Raw genomic sequence first — 14751 nt, forward strand, 5'->3', positions numbered from 1 at the left:
TCTGGTGGGGCCTTGGAGAGCCTTTGTGTTGACACTCTGTATCTAGCTAATCTGGTGGGGACGTGGAGAACCTTTGTGTCTAGTTCAGGGATTGTAAACGCACCAATCAGTGCCCCATCAAAACAGACCACTCGCCTCTACCAATCAGCAGGATGTGGGTGGGACCAGATAAGAGAATAAAAGCAGGCTGCCCGAGCCAGCAGCGGCAACCTGCTCGGATCCCCTTCCACACTGGAAGCTTTGTTCTTTTGCTCTTTGCAATAAATCTTGCTACTGCTCACTCTTTGGGTCCACACTGCCTTTAAGAGCCATAACACTCACCGCGAAGGTCTGCAGCTTCACTCCCAAGCCAGCGAGACCACGAACCCACCAGAAGGAAGAAACTCCGAACACATCTGAACATCAGAAGGAAAAACTCCAGACACCCTACCTTTAAGAACTGTAACAATCACTGCGAGGGTCCGTGGCTTCATTCTTGAAGTCAGTGAGACCAAGAATCCACCAATTCTGGACACATTTTGGTGACCCAGATGGGACCTTCACCAATCGCCAAGCGGTGAGACCATTGCCTATCGCTGAGCAGTGAGACAATCACCTATCGCCAAGCAGTGAGTACCACCAGACCCCTTTCGCTTGCTCTTCTGTCCTATCTTTCCTTAGAATTCGGGGGCTAAATACCGGGCATCTGTCGGCCAGTTAAAAGTGACTAGCATGGCCACTGACTAAAGACATGGGTGTCAGGCTTTCTGGGAAAGGGCTCTCTAACAACCCCCGACTCTTCAGAGTTGGGACTGTTGGTTTGCCTAGAACCAGCTTCTGCTTTTCCTGTACTTCTGGGCTGAGCCGAGGGTCGACAGAGAGGAAAGCCATGCAGCTCCAGGGTCCCGACAACAAGTTGGTTGACCCTGCGGCCATGAGTGGAACTCTCAAAGGCATGTTGCCCAAGCGAGACTTGCCCATCTATCCTATCTATCCTGACCTTTGCCCCCTGGGTCCTAATGCCTGTGAGACAAACTTCCTCTCGCCTCTCTTCTCTGAGGTTAGTCCCGCTTCTAAAAATTGCTACCTGTCTCTCGTGCTTTTCTAGTTTCTCCTATAAGAATGATTTCTAGTATAAACTCCAGGACTCTGTTACCTTCTTTAGGCACCTGGGCTCACCAATCAGAAAGACATAATTTTTGCCCAAAGCCCCATTGTAGTGGGGACTACCTGGAATTTTAGGATCCCTCCTCAGACTAACAGGTCTAACAAAAGCTATTCCTGAAGTTAGGATATGGGGAGCCTCAGAAATTGTATCCTCCCTATTCATATAAATGAGGACAAAAGGTGTCACTCTTCCAACCCTGAAGATCCCTTCCCTCCCTCAGGGTATGGCCCTCCACTTCATTTTTGGGGCATAACATCTTTATAGGACAGGGGTAAAGTTCCAATACTAACAGGAGAATGCATAGGACTCTAACAGCTTTTCGAGAATGCGTCTGTAAGGGCCACTAAATCCAATTTTTCTTGGTCGGTCCTCCTTGTGGTCTAGGAGGACAGGCAAGGGTGCAGGTTTTTGAGAATGCGTCAGTAAGGACCACTAAATCTGACCTTCCTCAGTCCTCCATGTGGTCTGGGAGGAAAACTAGTGTTTCTGCTGCTGTGTCTGTGAGTGCAACTATTCTGATCAGCAGGGTCCAGGGACCGTTGTGGGTTCTTGGGCAGGGGGAGAAACAAAATATACCAAAACTGTGGGCAGTTTTGTCTTTCAGATGGGAAACACTCAGGCATCAACAGGCTCCCCCTTGAAATGCATCCTAAGCCATTGGGACCAATTTGATGCACAAACCCTGAAAAAGAGGCCGCTCATTTTTTTCTGCACTATGGCTTGGCCCCAATATTCTCTCTCTGATGGGGAAAAATGGCCACCTGAGGGAAGTACAAATTACAATACTATCCTGCAGCTTGATCTTTTCTGTAAGAGGGAAGGCAAATGGAATGAAATACCTTATGTCCAAGCTTTCTTTTCATTGAGGGAGAATACACAACTATGCAAAGCTTGCAATTTACATCCCATAGGAGGACCTCTCAGCTTACCCACATATCCTAGTCTCCCTATAGCTCCCCTTCCTATTAATGATAAGCCTCCTCTAATCTCCCCTGCCCAGAAGGAAATAAGCAAAGAAATCTCCAAAGGTCCACAAAAACCCCTGGGCTATCGATTATGTCCCCTTCAAGCTATAGGGGCAGGGGAATTTGGCCCAACCCGGGTACATGTCCCCTTCTCCCTCTCTGATTTAAAGCAGATCAAGGCAGACCTGGGGAAGTTTTCAGATGATCCTGATAGGCACATAGATGTCCTACAGGGTCTAGGGCAAACCTTTGACCTCGCTTGGAGAGATGTCATGCTACTGTTAGATCAAACCCTGGCCTTTTATGAAAAGAATGTGGCTTTAGCTGCAGCCCGAGAGTTTGGAGATACCTGGTATCTTAGTCAAGTAAATGATAGAATGACAGCCGAAGAAAGGGACAAATTCCCTACTGGTCAGCAAGCCATCCCCAGTATGGATCCCCACTGGGACCTTGATGCAGATCATGGGGATTGGAGTCATAAACATCTGTTGACCTGTGTTCTAGAAGGACTAAGGAGAATTAGAAAAAAGCCCATGAATTATTCAATGATGTCCACCAAAACTCAGGGAAAGGAAGAAAATCCTTCTGCCTTCCTCGAGCAGCTATGAGAGGCCTTAAGAAAATATACTCCCCTGTCACCTAAATTACTCGAGAGTCAATTGATTCTAAAAGAAAAGTTTATTACCCAATCAGCCGCAGATATCAGGAGAAAGCTCCAAAAGCAAGCCCTGGGCCCTGAACAAAATCTAGAGGCATTATTAAACCTGGCAACCTTGGTGTTCTATAATAGGGACCAAGAGGAACAGGCCCAAAAGGAAAAGCGAGATCAGAGAAAGGCTGCAGCCTTAGTCATGGCCCGCAGACAAACAAACCTTGGTGGTTCAGAGAGGACAGAAAATGGAGCAGGCCAATCACCTGGTAGGGCTTGTTATCAGTGTGGTTTACTAGGACACTTTAAAAAAGATTGTCCAATGAGAAACAAGCTGCCCCCTCGTCCGTGTCCACTATGCTGAGGCAATCACTGGAAGGTGCACTGCCCCAGAGGATGAAGGTTCCCTGGGTCAGAAGCCCCCAACCAGATGATCCAACAACAGGACTGATGGTGCCTGGGGCAAGCGCCAGCTCATGTCATCACCCTCACTGAGCCCCAGGTATGTTTAACTATTGAGGGCCAGGAAATTGACTTCCTCCTGGACAGTGGCACGGCCTTCTCAGTGTTAATCTCCTGTCCTGGACAACTGTCCTCAAGGTCTGTTACCATCCGAGGAATCCTGGGACAGCCTGTAACCAGGTATTTCTCCCACCTCTTCAGTTGTAATTGGGAGACTTTGCTCTGTTCACATGCCTTTCTTGTTATGCCTGAAAGTCCCACACGCTTATTAGGGAGGGATATATTAGCCAAGGCTGGAGCTATTATCTACGTGAATATGGGAAACAAATTACCCATTTGTTGTCCCCTACTTGAGGAGGGAATCAACCCTGAAGTCTGGGCATTGGAAGGACAAATTGGAAGGGCAAAAAATGCCCACCCAGTCCAAATCAGGTTAAAAGATCCCACCACTTTTCCTTATCCCTTAAGGCCTGAAGCTCATAAAGGATTACAGAATACTGTTAAACATTTGAAAGCTCAAGGCTTAGTAAGGAAATGCAGCAGTCCCGGCAACACCCCAATTCTGGGAGTACAAAAACCCAATCGTCAGTGCAGACTAGTGCAAGATCTTAGACTCATCAATGAGGCAGTAATTCCACTATATCCAGTTGTACCCAACCCCTATACCCTGCTCTCTCAAATACCAGAGGAAGCAGAATGGTTCATGGTTCTGGACCTCAAGGATGCCTTCTTCTGTATTCCCCTGCACTCTGATTCCCAGTTCCTCTTTGCTTTTGAGGATCCCACAGACCACACGTCCCAACTTATGTGGATGGTCTTGCCCCAGGGGTTTAGGGATAGCCCTCATCTGTTTGGTCAGGCACTGGCCTGAGATCTAGGCCACTTCTCAAGTCTAGGCACTCTGGTCCTTCAATATGTGGATGATTTACTTTTGGCTACCAGTTCGGAAGCCTTGTGCCAGCAGGCTACTCTAGATCTCTTGAACTTTCTAGCTAATCAAGGGTACAAGGTGTCTAGGTCGAAGGCCCAGCTTTGCCTACAGCAGGTTAAATATCTAGGCCTAATCTTAGCCAAAGGGACCAGGGCCCTCAGCAAGGAACGAATACAGCCTATACTGGCTTATCCTTGCCCTAAGACATTAAAACAGTCGAGGGGGTTCCTTGGAATTACCGCCTTTTGGCGACTATGGATCCCCAGATACAGCGAGATAGCCAGGCCCCTCTATAGTCTAATCAAGGAAACCCAGAGGGCAAATACTCATCTAGTAGAATGGGAACCAGAGGCAGAAACAGCCTTCAAAGCCTTAAAGCAGGCCTTAGTACAAGCTCCAGTTTTAAGCCTTCCCACAGGACAGAACTTCTCTTTATACGTCACAGAGAGAGCCAGGATAGCTCTTGGAGTCCTCACTCAGACTCGTGGGACAACCCCACAACCAGTGGCATACCTAAGTAAGGAAATTGATGTAGTAGCAAAAGGCTGGCCTCACTGTTTAAGGGTAGTTGCAGCAGTGGCTGTCTTAGTGTCAGAGGCCAGCAAAATAATACAAGGAAAGGATCTCACTGTCTGGACTACTCATGATGTAAATGGCATACTAGGTGCCAAAGGAAGTTTATGGCTATCAGACAACTGCCTACTTAGATACCAGGCACTACTCCTTGAGGGACTGGTGCTTCAAATACGCATGTGCGTGGCCCTCAACCCTGCCACTTTTCTCCCAGAGGATGGGGAACCAATCGAGCATGACTGCCAACAAATTATAGTCCAGACTTATGCCACCCGAGATGATCTCTTAGATGTCCCCTTAACTATTCCTGACCTTAACCTATATACCGATGGAAGTTCAGTTGTGGAGAATGGGATACAAAGGACAGGTTACACCATAGTTAGTGATGTAACCATACTTGAAAGTAAGCCTCTTGCCCCAGGGACCAGGGCCCAGTTAGCAGAACTAGTGGCGCTTACCTGAGCCTTAGAACTGGGAAAGGGAAAAAGAATAAATGTGTATACAGATAGCAAGTATGCTATCTAATCCTACATGCCCATGCTGCAATATGGAAAGAGAGGGAGTTCCTAACCTCTGGGGAAACCCCCATTAAATACCACAAGGAAATTATAGAGTTATTGCACACAATGCGAAAACACAAAGAGGTGGGAATCTCACACTGACAAAGCCATCAAAAGGGGAAGGAGAGGGGAGAACAGTGGCATAAGCAGCTGGCAGAGGCAACAGAAATGAAAGAAAGAGACAGGAAGTCAAAGAAAGAGACAGAGAGGAAGAGACAAAGAAGAAGTCAGAGAAAAAGAGGGACAGACACAGTCAAAGAGAGAGTTAAAAAGAGAGGAAGAGACAAAGAAGAAGTCGAAGAGAGAAAGAGATGGAAGTAGTAAAGAAAAAACAGTGTACCCTATTCCTTTAAAAGCCAGGGTAAATTTCTATCTACCCAGCCAAGGCATATTCTTCTTATGTGGATCTTCAACCCATATCTGCTTCTCAAACAGTTTGCAAGAAATAACGAAATCTATCCTTACTTTACAATCCCAAATAGACTCTTTGGCAGCAGTGACTCTCCAAAACTGCCGAGGCCTAGACCTCCTCACTGCTGGGAAAGGAGGACTCTGCACCTTCTTAGGGGAAGAGTGTTGTTTTTACACTAACCAGTCGGGGATAGTATGAGATGCTACCCAGCGTTTATAGGGAAAGGCTTCTGAAATCAGACAACGCCTTTCAAATTCTTATAACAACCTCTGGAGTTGGGCAACATGGCTTCTCCCCTTTCTAGGTCCCGTGGCAGCCATCTTGCTGTTACTTGCCTTTGGGGCCTGTATTTTTAACCTTCTTGTCAAATTTGTTTCCTCTAGAATCGAGGCCTTCGAGCTACAGATGGTCTTACAAATGGAACCCCAAATGAGTTCAACTAACAACTTCTACCGAGGACCCATGGACCGACCCGCTGGCACTTCCCCTGGCCTAGAGAGTTCCCCTCTGAAGGACACTACAACTGCAGGGTCCCTTCTTCGCCCCTATCCAGCAGGAAGTAGCAAAAGCAGTCATCGGCCAAATTCCCAACAGCAGTTGGGGTGTCCTGTTTAGAGGGGGGATTGAGAGGTGACAGCGTGCTGGCAGTCCTCACAGCCCTCGCTTGCTCTCGGCGCCACCTCTGCCTGGGCTCCCACTTTGGCGGCACTTGAGGAGCCCTTCAGCCCACCGCTTCACTGTGGGAGCCCCTTTCTGGGCTGGCCAAGGCCGGAGCTGGCTCCCTCAGCTTGCAGGGAGGTGTGGAGGGAGAGGCGCGAGCGGGAACCGGGGCTGCGCATGGCACTTGCGGGCCAGCTGGAGTTCCAGGTGGGTGTGGGCTTGGCGGGCCCCACACTCGGAGCAGCTGGCTGGCCCTGCTGGGCCCAGGCAATGAGGGGCTTAGCACCCAGGCCAGCGGCTGCGGAGGGTGTACTGGGTCCCCCAGCAGTGCCAGCCCACCGGCGCTGCACTCGATTTCTTGCCGGGCCTTAGCTGCCTTCCTGCGGGGCAGGGCTTGGGACCTGCAGCCCGCCATGCCTGAGCCTCCCACGCCCTCCGTGGGCTCCTGTGTAGCCCGAGCCTCCCCGATGAGTGCCGCCCCCTGCTCCATGGCACCCAGTCCCATTGACCACCCAAGGGCTGAGGAGTGTGGGCACGGCACGGGACTGGCAGGCAGCTCCCCTGCAGCCCCTGTGCGGGATCCACTGGGTGAAGCCAGCTGGGCTCCTGAGTCTGGTGGGGACGTGGAGAACCTTTATGTCTAGCTCAGGGATTGTAAATACACCAATCAGCACCCTGTGTCTAGCTCAGGGTTTGTGAATGCACCAATCGACACTCTGTATCTAGCTACTCTGGTGGGGCCTTGGAGAGCCTTTGTGTTGACACTCTGTATCTAGCTAATCTGGTGGGGACGTGGAGAACCTTTGTGTCTAGTTCAGGGATTGTAAATGCACCAATCAGCGCCCTGTCAATACAGACCACTTGGCTCTACCAATCAGCAGGATGTGGGTGGGACCAGATAAGAGAATAAAAGCAGGCTGCCCGAGCCAGCAGTGGCAACACGCTCGGGTCCCCTTCCACACTGTGGAAGCTTTGTTCTTTTGCTCTTTGCAATAAATCTTGCTACTGCTCACTCTTTGGGTCCACACTGCCTTTAAGAGCTGTAACACTCACCACGGAGGTCTGCAGCTTCACTCCTGAGCCAGCGAGACCACGAACCCACCAGAAGGAAGAAACTCCGAACACATCTGAACATCAGAAGGAACAAACTCCAGACACGCTGCCTTTAAGAACTGTAACACTCACCGCAAGCGTCCACGGCTTCATTCTTGAAGTCAGTGAGACCAAGAACCCACCAATTCCGGACACAATATCATCCTCTCCCCTCCTAAATGTTAGAAACAGTATCACAAGGGGGGTGTACACTCCCTGCGATATTGGAAGTAACATCATCCTCCTTCCCCTCTATATCAGGAACAATATCACGTAGGGGGTGTACACTTAATGCAATATTGGGAGTAATATTATCATTTCTCTCCCCCCAGATATTAGGAACAATATTACAGTGGGGGTGTACACCCCCTGTGATATTGGGAGTAATAATATCTTCTCCCCCCTTGATATTATGAACAATATCACAAAGGGGGCGTACACCTCCTGCGATATTGGGAGTAATATCATCCTCTCTGTCCCTGGATATTAGGAACAATGTCACAGTGGGAGTGCACACTCCCTGAGATATTGGGAGTAATATCATCATCTTTCCCATTGGAAATTGGGAAAAATATCACAAGGGGGGTATACACCCCTTGTGATATTGGTAGTAATACCATCCTTTCCCCCACTGGATATTAGGAACAATATCACAGAGGGAGTGTATACCCCCTGTGATATCGGGAGTATTACAAGTAATGGTAGTAATATCACAGTATTACTAGTAATATCCTAGGGAGATATTACTTCTAATATCACAGTGGGTGTACATCCTGTGATGTTACTTTTAATATCCTGGGAAGATATTATTCCTAATATCACAGGTGTAACCCTGTGATATTACTCACAATATACTAGGGAGATACTACTCCTATTATCAAAGTGGGTGTACATCATCTGATATTATTTGTAATTTCCTAGGGAGATATTACTTTTAATATTACAGTTGGTGTATACCATGTGTGTACAACCTGTGATACTACTCGTAATATCCTAGATAGATGTTATTCCTAATATCACAGTTGGTGTACACTCTGTGATATTACTCATAATATTCTAGGGAGATATTACTCGTAATACCCTAGGGAGATATTACTCTTAATATTAGACTGGGTGTGCAACATGTGTGTATTCCCTTTGATATTACACGTAATTCCCTATGAAGATATTGCTCCTAATATCACAGTGGCTGTATCCCATGTGTATACAACCTGTAATATTATTCATAATATTTTAGAGTTATTACTCCCAATATCACAGTGGGTGTACATTATGTGTGTACACCCACTGTGATATTACTCTTAAAATCTGAGGGAGATATCACTTCTAATATCATAGGGGGAGTACAGCATTTGTGTACACCCACTGTGATATTACTCATAATATCCTAGAGAGATATTGCTCCTCACATCACAGTGGGTTTGCACCATGTGTGTACACCCTGTGATATTACTCATAATATGCTACAGATATATTACTTCTAATATCACAGTGGATATACATTATATGTGTACACCCTGTGATATTATTGGTAATACCCCAGGGTGATATTACTCCTAATATCATAGTGGGTGTAAAACATGTGTGTATTCCCTGTGATATTACATATAATATCCTATGGAGATATTGTTGCTAATATCACAGTGGGTGTACCCCATGTGCATACACTCTGTGATATTTTTCATAATATCCTATAGAGATATTATTTCTAATATCACAGTTGGTGTACACCATGTGCATACACTCTGTGATATAACTCTTAAAATTCGTGGGTCATATTACTCCTAATTTCACAGTGGGTGTACACTGTCTGATATTATACGAAACATCCTAGAGAGATATTACTCCCAATATCATAGTGGCTTTACATGCTGTGATGTTACTCGTAACATTCTACAACGATATTACAGCTAATATCACATTGGGTGTACACACAGTGATATTACTTTTAATATCCTACGGAGATATTACTTCTAATATCACAGTGGGTGGACACCCTATCATATTACTCGTAATATTTTAGGTAGCTATTACTCCTTATATCACAATGGGTGTACACCTTGTGATAATAGTAGTAATATCCTAGAGAGATATTTCTCCTAAATGACAGTGGGTGTACACCATGTGTGTACACCGTATGATATTACTCAGAATATTCTAGGGAGCTATTAGTCATAATATCACAGTGGGTGTACACAATGTGAGTACATTCTGTGATATTACTCGGAATATCCTAGGGAGATATTACTCTGTGGGGGTGCACGTCAACATATTCAAGCTTACGTACATGGCATTTGAGGTCGGGGCATGGAAAAATACTGAGGCACTGTGTGTATGTTATTTGTGCATAAGAATGTAACTCCTTGACCTGAAAACAGGACAAGGAGTGGAGTGTGTGATAAGGAACGCTGAAAACAGCCTCCTGAGAATGCGGTTTGAGTGCTTTTACAAGGCTACGGGTGTCTCACGACCCGATCTCAAATGGCCATCTAGTGGATGTTTGTGGTTTAACAAGCCCTTTCAATAAATACTTAGCGTACGGATGCTGGGGTGGCACTTTCTCAGAAGAGCTGTCCCCCTCCGCGCTCAGCTAGAATTGTCTGAAAACTCATTCTTGGCGTTCCCTGCAAGCTATAAGCTTTGTAAGTGGTGCCCCCAGTGTGATCGCCTTGAAGTTACGCGTGAAGTTGGAAAACTCATCAATTTTCGGGGAATCCCGGTAAGGGACAGTCCTGACTCCCATCAGGAGGACGGTATCCACGCGTAAACTACCAGGGGTTGGGTTATCATGGGTCAAGATTTGACCAAAGAACAGAAAGTATTTTTTTAAAACAGTGCAACAGCTACTTAAGGCTATCCAGTGCACTGTAGAGCCTGGAGCTCTACACAAGCTTTTGTTTTTAATTCGGCAGGAATGCCCTCTGTTTCCTGATCAAGGAACCTTAGAATTATTTATGGGTGCAGGTAGTCCGCTGCCCGGAAAGAGGATATGAGCAAGGCCATTTTAACTATTTTGACCACCTGAGCGCTGGTACGCTCCGCGTTGTAGCCTCTTTTTCTGCCGGATTGCGGTGAGTCAGGCTGCCCATCTTCTCCGCCTGAAGGGAATTCAGGAGATTTAAAGGAGAAGGAAAAACAGGAACCAAGACAACAGGGAGAGACTCCTCCCCACTCTTCATTCCCTTCTATGGGGGCTAAAGAAGAGATTTTTGCTAGTGAGGATGAGGACAGACCGGAGCCTTTTCCTTCCCCTATAGAAAAGTCATTGCCCTCCTTTCCTCCACCCTTAAAGGGACCTGCATCCGTTGGCCCCATTCAGCCAACAGCGCCTCCCATCCGCCTTGAGGAGATTGGAGGCCGCCCAAGAGATGGTTCTTGGATAAGACCTCGGTCAGTCTTAGTAGACGGGGGCCTCGGGGGCCTCCAAGAGGGACTTCGGAAGGGAGACTCTGAGGCGCTTTTTGGCGCATTCCTTGTTATTGTTCAAAACAACAGGAGACGTCATGAGAGTTTGCCTTTTACTGCCTTTGAAGAGTTAAAGAAAAGTATTCATGAAAATGGTGTACATTCACCCTTTACGCAGGGGATGATTGAGGCTTTGGGAAATGGTTATAAGATGACTCCACATGACTGGAAAACTTTACTAAAACTTTTGGTTTCACCTGCTGAATATACTGTGTGGTGGAGTGAGTCCAGTGATTTAGCCGTGTAGCAATCCTTACACAATTTGGATAATAATATCCCCATGCAACTTGATATGCTATTGGGAACAGGGCCTTTTGCTTCAACTCAGGCTCAGGCTTAGGCTCAGGCAGATAGCCGTCTATTTCCTCAATGCTCACAGCTAACAATACAAGCATAAAAAATACCCATAAGACAATCCCAGGGTTCCTTTATGATAGTTAAACAGGGTGCCACAGAAACATACATTGAATTTATCAACTGATTGCAGGCTGCAATAAAAAAACAGGCACCCTATCCTAAAGCTGCCAAACTTCTTATGTTGTAATTGGCTTTTGAAAATGCAAATAAGGATTGTCAGGCAGCAATAACTCCAGTCCGAGCCACTGCCACTGAAATCAGCGTGTTTATTAAAGTGTGCCAGAATATAGGCACTACAACCCATCTGGCTCAGACCTTTGCTGCAATGTTGACTGGGGCCACGTATTATAATTGTGGCCTAACTGGGCATATGGCCAAAATAACCCCACTACTCTTTTCCTACTGTTAAACAAGAAACAATTTCATACTCTCCTAGCTTGTGATCTTGATTGGCAAGTAGCAATGACTGACTTTATTGGTAATATCAGCTTTCATTGACCAGCCTCTAAACTCCTGAACTTTTTACAAACTGTGCCTGTTAAATTTGTATTTATGTTGTCTCTGAGCCCTTGCTTCACGCCACTTCTGTCTTTACAGATGGTTCAGGAAAAACTGGAAAGGCAACTATAGTGTGGCAAGATGCCACGCAGAACTGGCAGCACAAAATCCAGGAACGTTTTAAAACTACGCAACAGGCGGAGTTAGGTGCCCTCATATTGGCCTTACAAACTTTTCCTCACCATGACATAAATATGATGATAAAGTGATTCCTCTTATGTGGTGTAGTATTACTGATTTAGATCTTGCACATGCGAAGGGCATTACTAATGAAACCCTACTAGCTTTGTTTCTTACAGCACAAGAGCTCCTCTGTGCCTGTCATCACCCTCTTTACATCACACATATTTGCTCTCATTCTGGGCTATCTAGTCCTTATCAGAAGGGAACCTTCGAGCTGATGCTCTGGTACAAACACAGATGTGGTTTGCAGAGTCTCCTGCCTTTTTGCAAGCTCAAGCTGATCATTGTTTTTTTTTTCATTAGAACGCCCACAGTCTTAAACAACAGTTTCATTTGACACTTGCTCAAGCTCTCATGATTATTAAAACTTGTCCTGATTGCCAATGACATTCTCTTTCCCCCTTTTCCTTAGGGCTTGGTACCAACCCACGAGGTCTGGTGCCTAATGTTATTTGGCAAACTGATGTTACTCAGTATCCATCCTTTGGACGTTTCAAATTTCTCCAAGTTACCGTAGACGCTTATACAGGCTTAATACATGCTACCCCCTGGACTGGAGAAATAAACTGAAGATGCAATTGCTCATCTTTTTGAATCTCTTATGACTTTAGGTCTTCCACAAACTATTAAAACTGATAATAGACCTTGCTATCTTAGTGCTCGATTTGCACATGTATTGCAACTTTGGCACATACAACACAAAACTGGTATTCCTTATAACTCAACCAGTTATTAAACAAACTCATCAAACAAACAAAAAAGGGGGAATATGGGGCTCTCTTCTCTAGAATAGGACCTGTCATTGGAGAATTGACTGACAATGACGGTGATGACTCAGAAGGCACCTGACATTACCTGGGGACCGCTAAAGAAATTGGACCAACAGGCAACTATCCGGCTTGCCGCTGTGGAGGCCCCTGCAACTGCAGAGAATCAGTTTCTTATGTAACTGGCGGTAATTGGGGAAACTTCTGAGAAAAGTAAGACAGACACAGATGTTGGGCTGGTTGGTAATTCTTGTCCTTTGCCAAGTGAGATCAGCTCAAGAACATGTTTATTGGAGTCATATTCTAAATCCCCTTGTTTTTAATGTTATTACACAGTGGGATGCTGACCTGCCTTTGTTATCTAATGATACTTCTTGGACAGGAGGTCGATAGGTGTCCCTGTCATACCCCTTAACTGAAAATTTGGGATGGATTAAACTTAATGACTCCTTGATTTTATTGTTTAGTAATCCCCTCTTTGTTTTTCCACAATAGCACATGGTAAGTGTGTTACTCTCATTCCTCAGGAGTATCTTAACTATCAGCCTAAAAGGGATGCTAAGCTTGCAAACTTGACCTTTATTTCTGCTGTTACTACTAATCTTACTAAGGTCTCTCATGAAGCTGTACAAGTGCCTGATCTTCCTATATGCCGTCCGAGTGGGGACTGGTGATATAAGTTTGAGGCTGTCCAGTGGTCTCCATGCAGACAATCTGCACCATGTCAAGGGCCTCTGTTTAATAATGGCACCTTACTTGATTGGGGTCCCCATGGTTATCTTACGTCTGCAAATCAGACTATATTGGGTTTGGGAGTCCCTCCAATAGTTCTATCACCTGGTCAGAGTATGGGCTTTCAGGACCAATATTACAACTAAAAGGGAAACAAGCTTTAAGCCCTGTTCATACCCAGATTTGGAGATTAGGACTTCCTTTTTTTTTTGAATGAGTTCTTTCACATGGTGAGTACATTACTAAGGGCAGCACCTATACCCTCTCTTTGCATAATAATGTTACTGACACAGTCCTGATTTGTACTATGCACCCCTATATACTTTTGTTTGGGCGAGGTGTTCCTAACATAAAACAGAATCAGACCTTTTATAGTATTAAAGTCTCTTCCAGTACTTGGTATGCTACATGCTTGTCTTATCAAAACGTTACACAGTTAAGTATAACCTACGTCATGATCTTAAAACGGCATGCAGAAATGTGGCTGCCTGTAAATTTAACCTGGAGCTGGGAAGGAAATTCCACCCAGCAGCTATTTAGAAAAGCACTGTCTCATGCTCAGAAAAAAAGATTTCTGGCCACTTTAATTGACTTTTTAGTCTCAGCTATTATCATACTAGCAACTGCTGCTACTGCAGCTGTCTCTCTAACAGGATCTATTCACATAGCCTCAGTGGTGAACCACATGGTATATAATGTAACCCATGAATTTCAGGAACAGGTAAATATTGATAAAACTATTCTGTCTCACCTGGAGGCTCTTGAAGCCGCAGTTGAATGGCTGGGGGGTCAGCAGCAGGCATTCATTACCCATCAAAATTTACATTGTGATTGGCAATATAATCCTATCTGTGTCACACCTCTGCCATATAATAGCTCCCAATATGCTTGGGAGAGAGTGAAAGCACACCTGCAAGGGGCTTATCACAACCGTATTTCTTCTCAAATTTCTACTCTTGAATGTGAGTTAAAGAAACAACTTGAAGAATGGTCGCAGCAATTACAAGCAAATACCCTTCAGCAATTACAAGAGGGCTTTGTGGTTAAACATGAACACTTGGTTGTCTGGGTGATACTGTAATGCCCAACCTGGTTTTTACTAACCCTGTTTTTAGACTCTCCCTTTCCTTTAATCACCTAGCCTTGTTTCCACCTGAATTGACTCTCCCTTAGCTAAGAGAGCCAGACAGACTCCATCTTGGCTCTTACACTGGCAGCCCCTTCCTCAAGGACTTACC

General features: G+C 45.6%; 2 long non-coding RNA genes across 3 annotated transcripts in view, besides 1 other annotated feature; one reads left to right on the forward strand and one right to left on the reverse strand.

Annotated features, from left to right (window-relative positions):
* LOC124901922 (uncharacterized) overlaps positions 1–14751 on the reverse strand; it is a 32348-nt gene that overhangs the window by 16988 nt on the left and 609 nt on the right. The window lies entirely within an intron of this gene.
* LOC124901923 (uncharacterized) lies at positions 205–7371 on the forward strand. The gene is made up of 2 exons (XR_007060875.1): positions 205–608; positions 6083–7371. It is a non-coding gene; the product is annotated as an uncharacterized LOC124901923 (long non-coding RNA).
* Positions 10039–10258: an enhancer, noted in NCBI's record as "active region_27184". NCBI's record gives its function as "activates an Ori minimal core promoter by ATAC-STARR-seq in GM12878 lymphoblastoid cells {active_cell/tissue: GM12878}" and the evidence as "EXISTENCE:reporter gene assay evidence [ECO:0000049][PMID:35858748]".

Source organism: Homo sapiens, chromosome 8, assembly GCF_000001405.40.
Source record: "Homo sapiens chromosome 8, GRCh38.p14 Primary Assembly".
NCBI lineage: Eukaryota > Metazoa > Chordata > Mammalia > Primates > Hominidae > Homo > Homo sapiens.